This window comes from Homo sapiens, chromosome 5 (assembly GCF_000001405.40).
Source record: "Homo sapiens chromosome 5, GRCh38.p14 Primary Assembly".
Taxonomy (NCBI): domain Eukaryota; kingdom Metazoa; phylum Chordata; class Mammalia; order Primates; family Hominidae; genus Homo; species Homo sapiens.
Genome location: NC_000005.10, coordinates 25441467 through 25459965, shown reverse-complemented (window position 1 = coordinate 25459965; position 18499 = coordinate 25441467). Strand labels below are relative to the sequence as shown.

The 18499-nt window shown below is 32.9% G+C and overlaps 4 annotated features.

Moving 5' to 3' along the window:
• Positions 11219-12057: an enhancer, noted in NCBI's record as "NANOG-H3K27ac-H3K4me1 hESC enhancer chr5:25448018-25448856 (GRCh37/hg19 assembly coordinates)". NCBI's record gives its function as "activates a minimal SCP1, AML or CMV promoter by ChIP-STARR-seq in primed H9 embryonic stem cells {active_cell/tissue: H9 hESC(primed)}" and the evidence as "EXISTENCE:reporter gene assay evidence [ECO:0000049][PMID:30033119]".
• Positions 13357-13996: an enhancer, noted in NCBI's record as "OCT4-NANOG-H3K27ac hESC enhancer chr5:25446079-25446718 (GRCh37/hg19 assembly coordinates)". NCBI's record gives its function as "activates a minimal SCP1, AML or CMV promoter by ChIP-STARR-seq in naive and primed H9 embryonic stem cells {active_cell/tissue: H9 hESC(naive and primed)}" and the evidence as "EXISTENCE:reporter gene assay evidence [ECO:0000049][PMID:30033119]".
• Positions 13997-14636: an enhancer, noted in NCBI's record as "OCT4-NANOG-H3K27ac hESC enhancer chr5:25445439-25446078 (GRCh37/hg19 assembly coordinates)". NCBI's record gives its function as "activates a minimal SCP1, AML or CMV promoter by ChIP-STARR-seq in naive H9 embryonic stem cells {active_cell/tissue: H9 hESC(naive)}" and the evidence as "EXISTENCE:reporter gene assay evidence [ECO:0000049][PMID:30033119]".
• Positions 17436-18100: an enhancer, noted in NCBI's record as "NANOG hESC enhancer chr5:25441975-25442639 (GRCh37/hg19 assembly coordinates)". NCBI's record gives its function as "activates a minimal SCP1, AML or CMV promoter by ChIP-STARR-seq in naive H9 embryonic stem cells {active_cell/tissue: H9 hESC(naive)}" and the evidence as "EXISTENCE:reporter gene assay evidence [ECO:0000049][PMID:30033119]".

Genomic DNA, 18499 nt, shown 5'->3' with positions numbered 1-18499 from the left:
ATTAAATATAATCTATATTTAATATATTAAATATAATCTATATTTAATATATTAAATATAATCTATATTTAATATATTAAATATATTAATATATTTTTAATATATTTATTAATATATTGAATATTATTTATATTTAATATATTTATATTTAATATATAATAATCATATTTAATATAATTATTATATATTATTTGATTATTATTTATATAATTGATATACAATATATTATTTATTTTATTTTATTTATTTACAGTATTTATTTATTTATATTATTTATTTATTTATATTAATATAATATAATATATAATACATATTAAATATTATATATTAAATATATTATATAATTATTTAATTATATAATATATTTAATATATAATAATATATTAAATATTTATTAATATATTAAATATAATCTATATATTATATATATTAAATATAATATATATTTAATTTAGTTAATTAATTAGTATATATTTAATTAATTATATATAATATATATAATTAAGATAATATATATTTAATATTTTAAAACATTTAAATATTAAATATGTATTTTAATATATTTATATATTAAATATATGTTTAATATATTATATTAAATATATATAATATAAACACCAGAAAAGTGTTTATATTATGTGTCATAATAATAAAACCTTAACAAAGTCATCTACATTTCTTGCGTGTGTGTGTGTGTAAAGAAACAGTGGTAAATTATCTAATAGTATTCAACATATTAATATTTTTGTTTTTATTCTTATTTGTTTCTTGACTGAAAATTGTATTAAATCACTGTAAATTTACATGCAGTTGAGAGAAGTAAAACAGAGAGATTCAATATATATTTATCTAGTTTCCTCTGATGGTACAATTTTTGCAATACTATTTTATAATATCACAACCAAAATATCATTTTGTATTTATCCACAGTTTTGTTTTCTGGGATTTCAGTTACCTATGTTAAACTGTGGTCTGAAAATATTAAATGGAAAATTCCAGAAATAAACAATTTGTAAGCTAAATTGAAGGTCATTCTGGGTAGTGTGATGAAATCTTATGCAGTCCCCCTCTAACTTGCCAGGGACAAGAACCCTCCCTTGGTGTCCAGTGCATCCAAGCTCTCTACATTGCCCGCTAATTAGTCACTTAGGAGTGACTCAGTTATCAGATGCACTGTTTGATGTGGTATCTCAGTACTTGATTTCAAGTCACCCTTATTTTACTTCATAATGGCCCCAAAATAGAAGAGTGGTGTCACTGGCAATTCGGATATACCAAAAAGAAGCCATAAAGTGCTCCCTTGAAGTGAAAAGGAGAAAGTTCTCAACTTAATATGGAAATTAAAAAAAATCATATGTGAGGTTACTAAGATCTCCAGTAAGAACTAGTCTTTTATGCATGAAATTGTGAAGAAGGATAAAAGAAATTTATGCTAGTTTTGTTGTTGCACCTCAGACTGCAATAGTTAAGCCCACAGTGTGTGATATGTGCTTAGTTAAGATAGAAAATGCATTAAATGTGTGGGTGGAAGACATGAACAAAAATGTGTTTTAATTAACAGAAATCAGGTTTGGTACTATCTGTGGTTTCAGGTATCCACTGGAGGTTTTGGAACACAACCTCCCAAAATAAGAGGGGACTACTGTGTCGACATTAACACAAATCACCATCATATGGAGATTTCCCCAGTTTTACTTTCACTCGTGTGTGTGTGTGTGGTGTGTGTGTCTGTGTGTGTGCATACTTGTGTATTTTGTTCCATACAATGTTATCAAATTTATAAGTTAATGTGTCCATCACCAAAATCAAGATGCTGAACAGCTCCATGAGCACAAGAGTCCTCATGTTCCCATTGTGTGATGACACACATCCCTTTGGCACCCAGCCCCAATTATTAACCCTTGTCAAACATTAATTTGTCCTCCACTTCTAATATTTGTCAATTCAAATATTACATACAAGTGGAATCATATAATGTGTAACGTTGAGACATTGTCTTTTTTACTCAGTTAATTCCCTGGAGATTCATTCAAGCTATTGCATGCATTAATAGTTCCTTCCTTCTTAATGCTAAAGGACAATAGAACTGATTCTAGTTTTTGATGATTTCAAATAAAGTTGCTATCAACACTTGTGTATAGGTTTTTGTGTGAAGAGAAATTTATATTTCTTTGTGATAAATGTTAAAATGTATAATTTCTGAGTAATATAGTAATTCAGTGTTTAGGTGATTTTTTTTAAATAAGAAACTGCTGAACTATTTTCCAAAGTATCTGCCTTATTTTATATTTTCTGTCATATTCTCTCTAATTTTTGGTGGTGTTACTATTTTTTATTTTAGCCTTTTAACAAGTATGTAGTGATAACACATTGTGACTTTTATTTGCATATTTCTAATGCTAATGGTGTTGAACATCATTTAATGTGCATATTTTCCACCTGTATATGCTCTCCAGTGCTATTTTGCCCATTTTCTAATTTGTTTCATTTTTCATTTTATTTTTTTCTGTTGAGTTCTGATTTTTAAAAAAATATTTTTGATTCTAGTACTTTGTCAGGTAGATCTTTTCCAAATATTTATCTCAGTCTTTTGATTGTCTTTCAATCTTCTTAGCAGAGACTTTTCGAGAGAAAGTTTTTAATATTAATGAAATTTACTTTATCGGCTTTTCATATTAATATCCATACTGTTGGCATCAAATCTAAAACTTTTTTGCCTAGCCTTGCATCTTGAAAAAGTTTCATGTTTTTTGCTAAGACATTTAGAGTTTATGTTTTATTTTAGTTCATGATCTATTTGACTTAATTTTAGTAAAAATTATGAGGTTGTTTTTGTATAGAGTTTTTGTCTTGGATTTGGTTTTTTGTCATATGCATTTCTAATTGCTTTATCACTTCTTGAAAAGCTAGCCTTTCTTTACTGAATTGTTTTTGTACTTTTGTCACAATAAATAGAGCATATGTTTTCAGGTCTCTTTCTGTGTTGTCGGCTCTGTTAATTTAACCTGTGTGTCTATCCCTTCTTTAATAACTCACAATCTTGAATATTGATGCTACATACTAAGTCTTATTGTTTGATAGAGTGATTCTTCAAACTTTTCTCTTCAAAATCATGGTAACTATTCTAATTCCTTTGCCTTTCTTTATAAACTTTACATGGATCTTGTATATCTTGTATGTCCCACCGAGATGCTGATAGGAATTGCATTTAACCTACAGGTCAGTTTAAAAAGAATCAACATCTTTACCATGTTAAGTCTTCCAATCTATGAAAAGAGTGTGTCTCTTCAATAATTTAGGTCTTTCATTTCTTTCAATGGTATTTGGCAGTTTTCAGCATATAGAAGCTGTTCATGTCTTATTAAGTGTCTACTTAAGTATTTCTTTTTTTTCTTTACTTTTTTTAGAGATTGCAAATTTTTTTTTTCAGTTTTTAGTTTTTGCTTTTTCTGTGTTCATGTTAGTGCACAGAAATGAGATTGATTTTTGTGTTTGATCTTGTATCCTTTTTTGGTTTTCACATTCCTTGAAATTTTCTGTGTAGTCGTATCATCTGCAAATAGACAGTTTTATGTCTTCCTTTTCAATCTGCATGCCTTTCTTACTTTTCTTGTATAATAGCAACATCTAGAACTTCAATTATTGTTGAGTAACAGTGATGAGTGGATATTCCTTACTTTGGAAAAATTCAGTCTTTCACCATTAAATACGATGCAATTTGTTCAGCTTTCAACACAGTATTTTTCATGGCATGAATATCTTTGGGTTTATCTCAATTAGTATTCTCTCAATTTCTTAGTTATTTCTGTCTTTCACCAAATTTGGGAAGTTTTCCGACATTATTTCTGCAAATACTCTTTCAGCCCAACTCTTTTTTTCCCTCTTTTCTCATTTTGGGCTCTAATGCAAACGTTGGATATTTGGTATTATTTCACAGATTTCCTGGGGCTCTGTTCAATTGTTTTCAGCCTATTTCCTCAGTCTGTTGGTCAGACTGGGTGAATGGTATTGATCTGTCTTCAAGTTCACTGTTTCTATCCTCTGCCATCTCCGCTCCACTATTGAGCACATCCAGTGAGTTGCTATATTTCTCTTAATGTATTTTTCAGTTCTATAACTTTCAATTTGTTCTTTTCTATAACTCCTGTTTCTTTGCTGGGCTAATCTATTTTTTATTTGTTTCAAGAGTTTTTTTTTTACTGTTTCTTTAATCATTTTTTGATGGCTGCTTTAAAATCCTTGTCAGAGAATTTCAACATCTGATTAATCTCAGTGGTAGCATCAGTAACATTGTCTATTGTTCACTCCAGTTGTGATTCTCTTGGTTCTTTTTATAATGACTGATCATAGATTGTATCCTCGATATTTTGTCTGTTATACATGACAAGTCTAATTCCTATTTAAATCTTTAATTTTAACAGCCAGTCACTTTGTTGAGATTCATGCAGGCCTTGTCCTACTTTCATGAGCTGTGGTTCAAATGGCAGTTTAATTCTCAGAGCCTTTCCTGTGCAGTGCTGCTGGGCCACTCTCTGACCTCTGTTGGCCTTCTCTAAGGGGCAGAAGAGATTTCTCCAGGCCTGGCTTCTGGGTTGCTCTCTGTGGGGGCACGTTCGCTCAATATTCCCCACAGGTGCTCCTTGTGAGTCCTATTTCTCAGGACAGGAATTTTCAATCCAAATGTTCGAAGCGGCTTTCTGGGCCAGACTGTTTATTGTAGCTGCTTTTCTCTTTTCATTTCTGTTCACCCATTGCAGTGCTTCTGGATAGAAGATGGGTTTCTGCACCTGCTGACTTACCTTGACTCAGTCCCTCCTGTTGATTTCTCTGCCTGCCTACTCTGGTTTTTTCCAATGAGGGAAGGGAATTTAAGGACTTTTCAGGCTTTGGATAAAAGAGGTTTTAGGCCTGGGTCACTCATGTAAATTCTGAATTTTCAGCTTTATTTTTAACTTCAAGGAAGCCCATATTAAAATCCCTAATTTTCACCTATCTTTTCTTTTTTTAAGATATGGGCATATGTGTGTTTTCTGACCAATGATCTGTAAGTATAAATATTGTATCACAGCTTCAGGAAGCTTCCTTAAGAGAGAGCAAAACTGTGTCTTTTGCTGTCTTTCTGCATAACGGTTTCCTTTGCGTGCCTCCTTGAAAAGGAAAGCTGACATCTTAAACTACGAGACTGAGGCTACAGAAGGAAGAGCACAGATGAAAGGACCTAGCACCTTGGCATCTAACAACAGGAACTGGCCACTAGCTCTATACTGCCTCCACCAAATTCACCTGTGAGAGGAAGGGGAACAAATATATACATTGTCCACATCGTCTACATGTATAAATGCCATTTTTACATTTGTCTATCATTTTTATATAACCCTGATATTTATTAATACAACATTTCTTTCCTGGAAGTAGAGTCCTGCCAATGCTAATGATTAAACAGTGGCATTGCCTTAGGAGGTGGTAAGAAGACGGATTTTTCAGTTGGAAAGCTATGATGTATTTATCCCTTTAATGCAGTGATAACATACCCAGTGAGACTGTCATCTGTAATACCACACAAATCAGCCTATATTGCAACTGAGGCCCAAGCATTAGGAAAACCTATAGAGACAAGTGGAGGATGGTTGTGTATTAACAATTTCTTCTTAGAAAGCATATATGAAAGAGAGGAGTTGAAAGTAGAGCCTCCATCTATGAATAGAGACATAATATTCACTCACTGGGTTCACTCCACTTTGGAGCTTTGGAGAGTAGAAAAGCAAAATGTTTTTTCCCTCAAATTTAACCAATTATAACACTGTCCTTGTACAAGTTGTAAATCTGTTTTCAGATATAAGGAGCAGCACCAGCTGACATCTAGCAAAGAATAAAGAATCTTATTTCCATGACCCCAAGGGAATAGACTCCTCCAACAACTTTAACGAGCTTAGGCGCAGATTCATCCCAGGGTCTCATGAAAAGATTCTAGCAAACCAACTCCTCAATGTCTAATATGTGAAACTCGAAATAGAACATTCAACAGAGACAACCCATATTTATGACTTCTAGAACTGTGAGATAATAAATGTGTGTTGTTTCAAGCCAATAATTTTGTGGTGATTTGTTACAACAGCAATAGAAAACTAATACAGATTACTCCAAGGTGGCTAGCTTTATATGATGTCAAGAGCTCAAAATGAGAGAAGCACAGAAATGAGTCAGTAAAAGATCAGAAATTCAGACTAAACCACTATATCTATAAATATCTATTTTCAAGGCAGCATAACCAGACCAGTCTAGGTCTGACCAAGGAACTCAAGTTCTAGGGTAGAGGTTTCATAATTGTTATTAGTAACTGTTTCTGCATTAATTCCCCACTCTACTCCCTTCTCCAAGTGTGACTTTTACAGTATTCATCATGTTTCTACTGCAGTACACATATTGAATTTTGGATGTTTGGTCCAGGATTATATGATTTTTTATAAAAGTTTCTTTTGTTTCAAAGTACTTGAAATAAACATTTAATATGTTTAGGCACCAAATTTAATAATTAATTTCTTTAGTAAACATCAATTCAGCAACTACTATATTTCAGGTATTTTGTCGGGTAAGAGATATTCAGATTAATAAGATGCTGCTCTCTGACAATGTATAGTTTAGTAGAAGATCTTGTAGATATCTTATGTGTAAGAGAAATTCAGGCATTTTGACCAATAGGGTGATGGCTGCTCATGGAGTAAGTGTGACACCGAGATAAGAAAGAGTAGAAATTTAAAACTTGATTCTAAATGATAATTCTGTATTAGCTAGATGTGAGTTCCTCAGAAAATTATTTCATTTCTCTATGCCTCAGTTTTTAGTCTTTAAAATGAGAATATGACATCTCTCTGAGTTAATGAAATATTTGCTTTAATAAAGATAAAGAGCACACTGCTGACTGCATTGTGATGAATTTGTAAAGAATATCTCTATCAGAATGATTTAGTAATAGTAATAACAGATATTTTGCATCTTTAGTTTTTAGGTTACATGGCCATGAGATGCCACATTTAGAACTTTGAACCGTATTGGAAATCACTCAGAGGTCCTGGATTTGGGGTGGATTCATGAGCTGAATGAACTTTTCCAGTTTTCTCCCTTGGAGGATGGTGGCAAGAGCACTGTGCTTGTGAATGGAAAGGTAAACACATTAGATGGCTAAAGAGAAAGACTTTTGCAGACCACTGGCTGTATCCTAATTATAATGGTTTAGTTAGGCATATGACTGCCCAAAATAAAGTCTGCCTCTCCATCTTAATACCTAGAAAATAGGTGATAGTACCTATCTTCTGTGTGTATGATATTGAGGTCATACTTATCGAGGACACTAGATTAAAAACTTCATCCCTAATACATGGAATATCTTATCACATACTGCACTTCCCCAGCTAGATTTTAATTTTAAAGAACAACAAAGTTTTATTTTGTTGAAACCATTATCATTCTAGGATAACTGTCATAGGATAACATACCTTTATGTATGTTATTTAGGGATTTTTTTCAGATTGTTTAGATTAGAATCAAAAACAGCAGCAGTAATAAGTGATTCCCTCCATGAAACAAAACCAGGTAAGAAGAAAATTGCCACAAGAGGCTTGTTTTTCATTTAAATATCTTCAATAAAAATGTGATGACTAATTTTTTTGTGTGTATATAATTAGCTATGTGCTTATATATATACAATTTAGTATTAAAATTAACAAAATAAAGAACATGCTAGAAAAAAAGAAGTAGGAATAATTAGGGCTTACACATACTGGAGATCATATCTTAATAGTGTTATTTAGGGATTTTTTCAGTTTCTTTAGATTAGAATAAAAAAGAGAAACAGTTATAAGTGATTCCCTCTGTGAAACAAAACCAAGTCCGAGAAAAATTGCAACAAGAGGCTTGTTTTTCATTTTAAGATCTTCAGTAAAAATGTGATGCCTAAAAATTTACATATATGTGTGTGTGTGTGTGTGTGTATGTGTGTGTGTATAATTAGCTACATGTTTGTATATATCTACAATTTAGTATTAAAATTAACAAAATTAAGAATATGCTAGAAAAAAGAAATAGGAATAATTAGGGCTTACACATACTGGAGATTACTGATATCTGGAGAACAATAGAAGGAAAAAAGGGCTACAGTAGTTAAGTAGAAGCATTTTTTTTCCTAAAGTTTAATGTAGAGGTGTAGATGTGGATGTAGAGCAGCCAATAAAAGGGCCACGTAATGGACATTTTATATTTTGGCTCACCCAGCATCATGAATTCCTTCCCACTTGGGGTGATATTCTCATGGTGCATTGATTGCTGTACAATAGGCCCCCACCTGTGTCTATGGAAAACTGTAGGGGAGACACAGACATTTGCTTTCCTTTTCTTCCTGGCAACTATATTATGACAGGATCAAGTTGAGCATTCAGACTTGTTTCTTTGAGCTTTGAAAGAGTGATGTGAGAAGGCAGAGTCCAGGCAGTGGTGACGCAGATGTAGACACAATGAAGCCAGTTGTGACCTCCTTCTCAGGCTGACGAAGTAGCACATTAATGGCTGTGTTGGAAGCTGTAGCCTGAATTTTTCTTGTCAATTCTCTGCAATTCCAATATCTTTCCATTACATTCACTGTCTGCATAATTTGGTCAGAGACAATTTCTGCTTTTGTATCATAAATTTTGTGTGGTACTCTACCTCTCTAATTAAATTTCACAGTGCTCCCTCCTTCTTCACTAACATTCAGCATCACAGGCCTATTTCCTGATTCTTGAACACAGCACGCTTCTTTCAGTCACAGAATCCTGGAGAATGCTTTTATTCTGCCAAAGTATCTCTTCCCACAGAGCTTTGCATGATCGCTTATATCCAGATCTCCTCTCAAAGGCAAAAATTCCCCGCCCTCTTTTATAGTACTTGAAATCGTATGAAAATTATTTTAGTATATATTTAGGCAATATTTGTATTGGAAATTATTTATTAGTTGTCATTTTAAATTTGTTTCTTCTCCCTCCCATTAAAATATACTCTGAGAGCTGGGACCTAGCATGTCTTAACCACAGCTCTATTCCATCAAACCTAGAATCACTCTTAGATTTTTTTTAATATTAAAATTGTAAGTAAAACAAAGAAGTAAAGTTTTTGAATAAAAAGTTATACCAGAAAAATCTGTATAACTGCTGAAAATTAATAACGTATTCAACACTGAGTTTTTTGCATATTGCTTATCTTAACAGATTGCTTTTGTTATGTATTTTATTTTTTGCCCTATTTCTGTATATGTATTGCCATTTTATAAACTGGTTTAATGAGTAGCTTCATTCTATAAAGATTTATTTGAGGCAATATGGAAAGAGATGCTGGGATGAGACTAGATTAGATCAAAGGAACTTGAGAGTGAGAGCTAAGAGGGAGTCAAAAAGATCTAGTTAAAAGACAAGGTTCATAATAACCCAAAACCTTGAATCTGTTCTGAGAGTAGCTGAAAAAAATTAGAGTGCTCTAAGCATGGAAAGAAAGGCTGATTGAAGCTTGAACTGAAACTATAAGTGGGAAAATTGGTTCCCTTGTAACATGCTGTTAAAATATTTTCCTTCTCTTCAGTCACTGGGCTAAACTTTAACACTTGTAGTCAACCAGAGGAGGTGTTGAGCAATTTACTAGGACAGTATTCACCCCAACTTTATGAAGTCATTTCTTCAATTCAAACTATGACACTGACACCTTTAAGTACACTGTCCAATTTCTGTTCAGAAGGTTTACCTGGAAAGATCCTACGTGGATCAGAATAGTTCATTTGGAAATCAAACTCAAGGACAGTCTGTATCCAAGGCTGAATTTTCACACCTTATTCTACTCCCTTTTCTAAATTATGCTTAACCACTATGTTGAAAATAATGCATGGACTTCTTCTATGAGAATAAATAATAGCATTAAAATAAAATTTGGAGGTGCGCCAAGGTCTCAAAAATACTCCCTCTTGAAATTTAAAGTTCAAAGATATTAAAGTTTAGATAAGTTCAATTTTTTAAAGTTTTTTTTTTTTGAATACTAGAAGTTTAATTTGTAAAATTCCAAAGTTGAATGAAAGCACAAATAACAAACATCAAAATGCCATTCTGTGAGTTTGTGGACAAGAGTAGATCAAAGCATAGCCCTTCCAGGCCTCCTTCCCCAGTCTTGAATATAGAATAGAACATAGAACGGTGGGTTAATGCTGCCTATTTAATGTGGCACTGATCATGTAAAGGTAGAAACTCTCCAATATTTTGTAGCTCATGGGAATTCAGTGTCTTCCAGTTTAAAGGCATCACATGCTTTTTTTGGCAAACTATGCAATGCTTAAAAGCCTTATAAAGATTATTTCCCCCATATCCAAGTTTGCCTCTGAACCTACTAGTCCTGCAGTTTGTAGCTGTGAGACTTCCTGTGGTACCTGCTACCCTCTCTCTTTAATTCTTGCCTTAGCTGAAAATGCTCATTAGGCCTCTAGCCCATGAATTCTCAGACATTTGTGCTCTTTCTCTGACGCCTGTCAGAGACACTGTACTTCCACCCTGCGCTACCTGTATAGAAACTGCCACATGTCTGGAGTCTCCACCATATGTTTGATACCCAATAAAATGTTCGCCTCTTCCTCACCAGGATTCTGAAGACTTTAAGAAATAAAATAAGGGCATGTCTATTGATGAACCAAAATCCCCCCTTTTTTTGTTTTGAGACGGGGTCTCCTTCTGTCACCCAGGCTGGAGTGCAGTGGCTCTATATGTGCTCACTGCAACCTCCGCTTCTCAGGTTCAAGCAATTCTCCTGCCTCAGCCTCCTGAGTAGCTGGGATTACAGGCACGCGCCACCACGCCCGGCTAATTGTTTTTGTTTTTAGTACAGACGGGGTTTCAGCATGTTGGTCACGCTGGTCTTGAACTCCTGACCTTGTGATCCGCCTGCCTTGGCCTCCCAAAGTGGTGGAATTACAGGCATGAGCCACCGCGCCCGGCCCCAGAATCACTCTTATTGCTGAGAAAGAGAAGTAGAGTTGCTGGTAGCAAGCCCTAACCCTGTCATAAGCCTTAAAGAAACTGTCCATAAACAGGATTTCTGCAGCAATGTGACACGCTCGTGATGGCGATCACGCACACTGCTAGAAGTTGTTGGTTTACTGGAGCAGGGCTAGGAAAACCTGGTCCGCCTGGAGCGGAAAACTACTCAAACTACAAACAGTAGCAGGAGCAGCCTGTGCCCTAACAACATGCTTTTGCTGCAGAAAATCAGCCAGGGCCTGTTTCTCTGCTCCTTGCTAAGAATGCTTTGTTTCCCATAAGGAATGCTTTTAGCTAATCTATAATCTATAGAAACTATGCTTATCACTGGCTTTCTGTCAATAAATGTGTGGGTCAGACTGTTCGTGGCTCTCAGCTCTGAAGGCTGTCAGCCACCTGATTCCCCCTTTATACTCTATTCCTGTGTCTTTGTCTTAATTCCTCTAGCGCTGCTGGGTTAGGGTCTCCACGACCAAGCTGGGCTCGGCAGGAGTATTATCCCAGAATTAGAAATGCTATCCTTGCACACTTCATGCTCAAACAGCGCTGCTTCAAATAGGCCTCCTTGCGTAGGAAAAGCCTAGAGTTGAAAGCAGTTAAGGTTTAAGAGGAGCAAAAGCAAACAGAGTTGAACATGCCCAGTGACTCAATCCCAAATTTGCAAAACAACTGTCACTTTACTTCTCCATGCATATTTAAAGTAAGGAAACAGAGAGGAACTGAAGCATGCCTAGGGGAACAGTTTTAGCATGCAAACTGGGAAATGGGGAGAGTTTTCCTTTTTAAAAATACATGCTGTTCCAATTAAGTGCTGGGTGCTGAGGAACCCTCTCTAATATCCCTAGATGGCTTTGCCACAAGCTCCAAATCACTATATAAAAAATGTTTAAAAATATAAGGTAGCATTCACCTGGAGTTCAATGAAGAATGGCATATAAACATACATATGATTTATTTATCACGTTAACATTAGCTATGCCAAGTGTTTCCAAAAACATACATAAATCTCAGGAATGAATTTAAATATGCAAAATGTAAATATGTTGAGTAGTACAGTATATATTCAAAATGTTATTATATATATACACAGAAAGATATACACAAATATGTACACATAAGTACATAAATATATATGTATAATATCTTAATGTGTACTCTGTACTAATATACATCTTTATTGTGTTTCATTCCCTTCCTGTGAATTATCTATTACATCCACCTTAAAAAAAAGTTTCACAAAAAAGCTCTAACTGTAAACTGATCAATAGAATCGGATCATTTCTATTTTCTTTGTTCCATTTTATTGTTTTTAATTATGATGTTAAATTTATGAGCCTTGATAGCTTGCATGCATTGCTGAAAGTCTCTGGTGAATAAGAATATATACATAGAAAACCTCAATACGAATATAGACAGACAAGTGCTATCTTAAAATTAACATGTAAATTTTAAGTGGAAATTCTTTTTTTGATATTTCAGCTTCTTTGCCTTTTTTAATTTTTAAAAAACCTAAATATGTATACTATTCAAGCAATAATGGTTTCATATTAAAATTTTACTTCCTCCACTCAGTAATTACTGATATTTTTCATAATGTTGATACAAATTAAATATCTATGTTTTAATGTATAATTTAGATTTAAATTGAAACGTAAGTGGCTTACCACAACATCAATACATATGTAGTAAGATCTTCATCACTTATTCTTATTGTATTCCTTTCAATGTGCACCAAAAATGCAAGTCTTATTGTCTAGAGAAAAAACCTTGTGTTGATGATAGTGGCTAAACAAAATATTATTACAGAAGAACATTAGTTGCTATTTTATTTACACAAATGAAGTTTTAAAATTAGAGTTAATTATATTTTGCTTATTGTTAAAATAATTTCTTAATTTTGCCTGATACTTCTTTTATTTTATAAATAGCTAGAAATATAAGGTTAAAAACAAAATAAGGAATAAAATAGCATATGAGTCTAATTCTCAACAGGTATCCCCTAATAAAATTGGATGTTATCTATAGATAACAAATAAATAACTGTAAAAAAACTCTATTAAAATTATTTGATAGAGAGCATAACATTCTGCTCTCTTGAGAATTGAGAGATGTAAAAGTGAAAACAAAATTTAGATTAAAAAATAAATAACCAAAAAATGTGATTTGTTTATTACCATGAATATAATTTTTAACAGTTTGACAAGTGCAATTGTGATAAATACATAGAGAAGGACTGAAAATATTTGGCATAGATCCGCTACAGAAATCGCACTAGTGAGCACATATTTTTTGTTTGAGATAGCTTAATTTAAGAAGACAGGCTTGTTTCTTTGAATTTAAAAGCTATCCTTTTACAAATGGACAGATGGTTCAAGTTAATTTATAATCTTTTTTTAAATGATGTTATCGTAGTGATATCTAAACTACAAAGTAAGTTCTCTGAAATTGAATCTGTACTGAAAGGATTGATAGAAATGATTTAAGTTTTCAGTTTCTACATTTAAGTGAATGTGGTTGCACAGAAAATCTACATTGATCTTCAGCCTTTCATTATTTCTCTAAACCTCAGTTTCATCATTTGTCAAAAGGGTTTATAATTGATTGAACTAATGCCTTTTAATGTAATAATTGCCAAGTTATTTTAAAATATACTTAAAAATACACAAAAGTTAATTGTGGTTTACAAAAATAACCGAGTAAGGTAATGTCAGGCCTCTGAGCCCAAGCTAAGCCATCATATCCCCTGTGACCTGCACGTACACATCCAGATGGCCGGTTCCTGCCTTAACTGATGACATTCCACCACAAAAGAAGTGAAAATGGCCTGTTCCTGCCTTAACTGATGACATTGTCTTGTGAAATTCCTTCTCCTGGCTCATCCTGGCTCAAAAGCTCCCCTACTGAGTACCTTGTGACCCCCACTCCTGCCCGCCAGAGAACAACCCCCCTTTTTCCTTTACCTACCCAAATCCTATAAAACAGCCCCATCCTATCTCCCTTCGCTGACTCTCTTTTCGGACTCAGCCCGCCTGCACCCAGGTGATTAAAAGCTTTATTGCTCACACAAAGCCTGTTTGGTGGTCTCTTCACACGGACGCGCATGAAAGGTAATGTTTTTCATATATTTTAAAAAATACACAAAAGTTAATTGTGGTTTACAAAAATACCTAAGTAAGGTAACGTTTTTCATTCTACATATTCTAAACTGTTTATACTGTATTGAATGTATTAGCCCTGGGGTCTACTCATGGTCTCCTTTGAAAAAACTGAAACATGCCTTTACAGTGAGGTATGGCGGTGTTCAGGGGAATGAAGGAATGGAGGGTCAAAAGGAAGTAAGGCGAGTCCCACATACAATTTTCCATGATCTCAAAAAGAGCAGAAATCTCTTGCCAGGGTGGGTGGAAGATGATTGAACAGCTGGATATAAGAATAATTGGCTTTAGAGAGAAGCTACAGAAGAAGTGATTCAGGAGAAGATTCAAGTAAATATTTCTGTCTACAAAAATAGTAAATTCTGGAAGATGATGTTAGAATGGTAGGTAGCTCCTTGCTTTAGTTACCTAAAAATGACTAAGGCAGAAAACGGAGGAAATCTTTGTTTTTCTTGAATGAAGCCATTCATATACAACTTTTTTGAACAACAAATGTTTTTATGATGGGTTACAATTGATATCAATTGGACTTAGATTGTATATCAGTTTTAGAAGTGTACATTGTTTTGATAGAATTTAAAAAAATGGTTTAACAAATGTATTTTGTTTGACCAAGGTACTGGATTGTTTTAATTGTTCTAAGTTTATCTTTAGACTCGTGTTAGGTACACATGTTTCCTTTTTTCTTATGATAGCACATTTCAAATATATGGCCAATTACAACACTAAAATATTTTCTAAAATTCCACTTGCTCACAACAAAACCACCACTGAAGGAAAGGAGTGAATTCTAGAATGGAGAGATTTAGTCAGGGAGAATCTAAATTTTGCTATGAATACTGCTTACATCTCCGGCTGATTCCAGCATGTATTCTAAGAGGCCAAATTTCAACTACAAGAACTAAATTCATATTTCAGTGCTACTACACACTATAGGGGAGGCAGAATTTAATTTCTGAAATGTTAGCTACCTATTAAAAAACCATTACTCTTTGGATGAACGTAGCAGAATCTAGAGTGCTTCTAACACATCACTCACAATATGTAGAATGTAATAAAATTTACTCAATGTTAGAGGAAAAGAAAATTATCTGTTCTCAAGAGAAAATGCAACCAATATGATCTTTAGAATCAGTGGGCAATGATTTTAAAATGTCCATTATGACTATGCTTAAAGAGGTGAAATAAATTGTGGAGGTAGTAAAAAAAATACAGGAAATCTCAGCATAAAAGTAGAATTAATAAAAAATAACTAAAAAGGAAATTTTAGAAACAGAAAAATAAAATAGCTGAAATGGAAAAATAAATACTCTATGAGATTAACTACAGAAAGAAGATGAAATAAGAATCAGTAAGCTATAGAAAATCAAAAGAAGTTATGCATTTCGAAGAGAGTAAAAAACAGATACAAAACAAAATTAAACAGAGTCATGGGATAATCTTAGATGGTCCAACATGCTTGAAATTCAAGTTGCAGAAGGAGAAGAGAGAAAAATGAAGTAAAAATATTGAAAAAATAATACTTGACCTTTTATTCAATTTGGTTAAATGCATTAATTCATGGGTTTAAAAGCTAGAACACCCTGGATCAACACACACACACACACACACACACACACACACAAACCGAATATCATTTTCATATTTCAATTACATATTTAAAATCTAAAAATAACATCCAAAATATATAGGGAGAGGTAAAAACCATTATGTATAGAGTGACAACAATTTCTAAAACACTATTGACTTCTTGTCAGAAATTATACATCCAGACACAACATCTTAAAGTGCTAAATGTAAAGAAAGGCAAAATGTCAATCAAGAGTTCTACATGAGTGAACATATTTTTCAAAACTGAAGGGGAAATGAAAACATTCTCAATTAAAATATTATATATTTTTTATCAGAAGACCTTCACTATAAGGACAGTTACAGCATGATTTTCAATCTGAAGAAAAATGAAACCAGACTGAAACTCAGCTACATAAGATGGTTTTACACACATACAAACACACACAACTTTTCTGAATTTCATAATCTTGTATATAACCGTTTATATCAAAAATTTTATGAAATTTCATTGAATTTATACACATACACACATTTTAGTAAAATTAAACTAATGAATATATGTTTTGTGTTGTGTTACAACCTTAACAATAATAAAAGTTTTATAAATAAGAATATACATTTAATGCCTGAAATTACCATTTAACTTAACTTAGTTGTAACTTAAACACCCATCTCCCCAAAACATACACACACACATACATATAGATTTCATTAAAATTATTTTAAAAATAAATTAATACCAAGAAGGCAGAAAAGGAGGATCACAGAAAGAGAAATAGAAAACAAATAATAAAACTCTAGACCTGCTATATATTATATGTTAATATTACTAAGTTGAGGAAACTTTCTCTATTCCTAACTTTATAAGACTTAAAAAATCATAAATGGGTGCTGAATTTTATCAATTCTTATTTTGGTATAATTTGATGTAAGCATGTGATTTTTCTATTTTAGCATGTTTGGTCTCAAAGCCCCTTAGCTGTCTGTTTTCTTCTTTCTATTCTTCAGAATTTTGTTATGTTTACATATAATGTCCAGGGTTTTTATCTAACCTCAGTGGGAAAAATAGGAAAAATGAATCTACTCCACTTCTTAGAAGTATTGTGCTTTTCAAAACATGGATCTTTCCCATTGTGGAGTATTAGATCAACTTTGTTAATTGTGTTATTGAAATCGTACATATTTGATAATTTCCTGTTTTATTTATAGTTACTCAGAGGTATGGTAAGATTTAAGATGTAAATTTTTTCCTAGTAATGCTGTGATTTGTGACTTTTTTGCTTTTTACATATTTTAGACTAAGTTATTAAGTGTATACATTAATAGTCATATAATTTTCTTTTTATTTTATTATTATTATACTTTAAGTTTTAGGGTACATGTGCACAACGTGCAGGTTAGTTACATATGTATACATATAATTTTCTAGTGAATTGTACCATACCTTATTTATAAAATAGTAACCTTATACCAGGATCTTCTTTATTCCCTAATAAAACATTTTTATTTATAGTGTGTTATTGTAACAAAATGATAGTCTAAAGCAGTCTTCTTTTAGTATTCCTTTGGTATATTTCTTGTCTTTAGAATTATATTCCTTTGCAATTATGAAAGATGTCACATAAGATCATGTTGCTAAATTATAAACTTATGTCATAATGCAATCTAGCTATCCCTATTGTTTAATCTACTAGTTAGGCACATTTGCATTTTTTGCCGTTTTGTTAATTGTTTTCTGTGTGATTTGTACTTCCTTTTTTCCTGTCTTGCTGTCTTCCTTTGTGATTTGTTGATTGTTTTTGTAGTGGTATTTGATTTATTCCTCATTATATTTTATAAATTTACTACAGTTTTTTTTTAGGGTTACCATGAAAACATGTTATAATTGTAACAGTCCATTTTAAGTTTAAGCTTATAACAACTTCAATTGCATCCAAAATATCTGCCCTTTTACTTAATCTCAAACCCCCTTTTATATTATTGATGTCACACTTTACATCTTTTGTCTTAAACAAAAGACATTTCTTTTTGACGCTGCTGGAGCTTCCTAGTGAAGGCCCTTTTCCTAGTATGAAGATGGTTGCCTTCTCACCGTGTCCTCACATAGCCTTTCCTTGCTGCAAGAGCATGGACGCAGAAAGAGAGAGAGAGAAATCCCTTTTCCTTTTTCTCTTGTAAAGCCACTAATGCCATGGTGAGGGCTCCATCCTCATTATCTAATCTCACCTTAAGTACCTCCCATAGGCCCTATGTCCAAATACCAACACATTGAGGGTGAAGGCTTCAGCATGAGACTTTTGATGGAACACAAACGTACAGTCCATGACACCTTGTCTTTTCCATGCTTCTTTATTTTCTCTGTGTGTCTTCTATTTAAATGAAGATAAAATATATTCACTATCTCTATACTCCTTTTTCTAAATAAAAGCCATAAAAGTAGATCTGGATTAGCTGGAATATCAACTTTTATCACAAATGAAAAATCTTTAATCCTCCCCTTGGGAGATACCACTTCTCCAATTCCTCTCCCACCTTCAAACTCAGAGTCAACTATTTAAAAATCTTAAGACTTTTAAACAGTTTACCACCTTATTCTATATTAATATATAAGACATGACAAAAGTTAACATCTGAAATTTATTATTTGCAAGATGTCTTGCATCTCTGAGTCTTTGATCTCATATAGAGTAGGAGCAATTGAAAAATGAAACCCTTGGATGACAGAAAAACCTC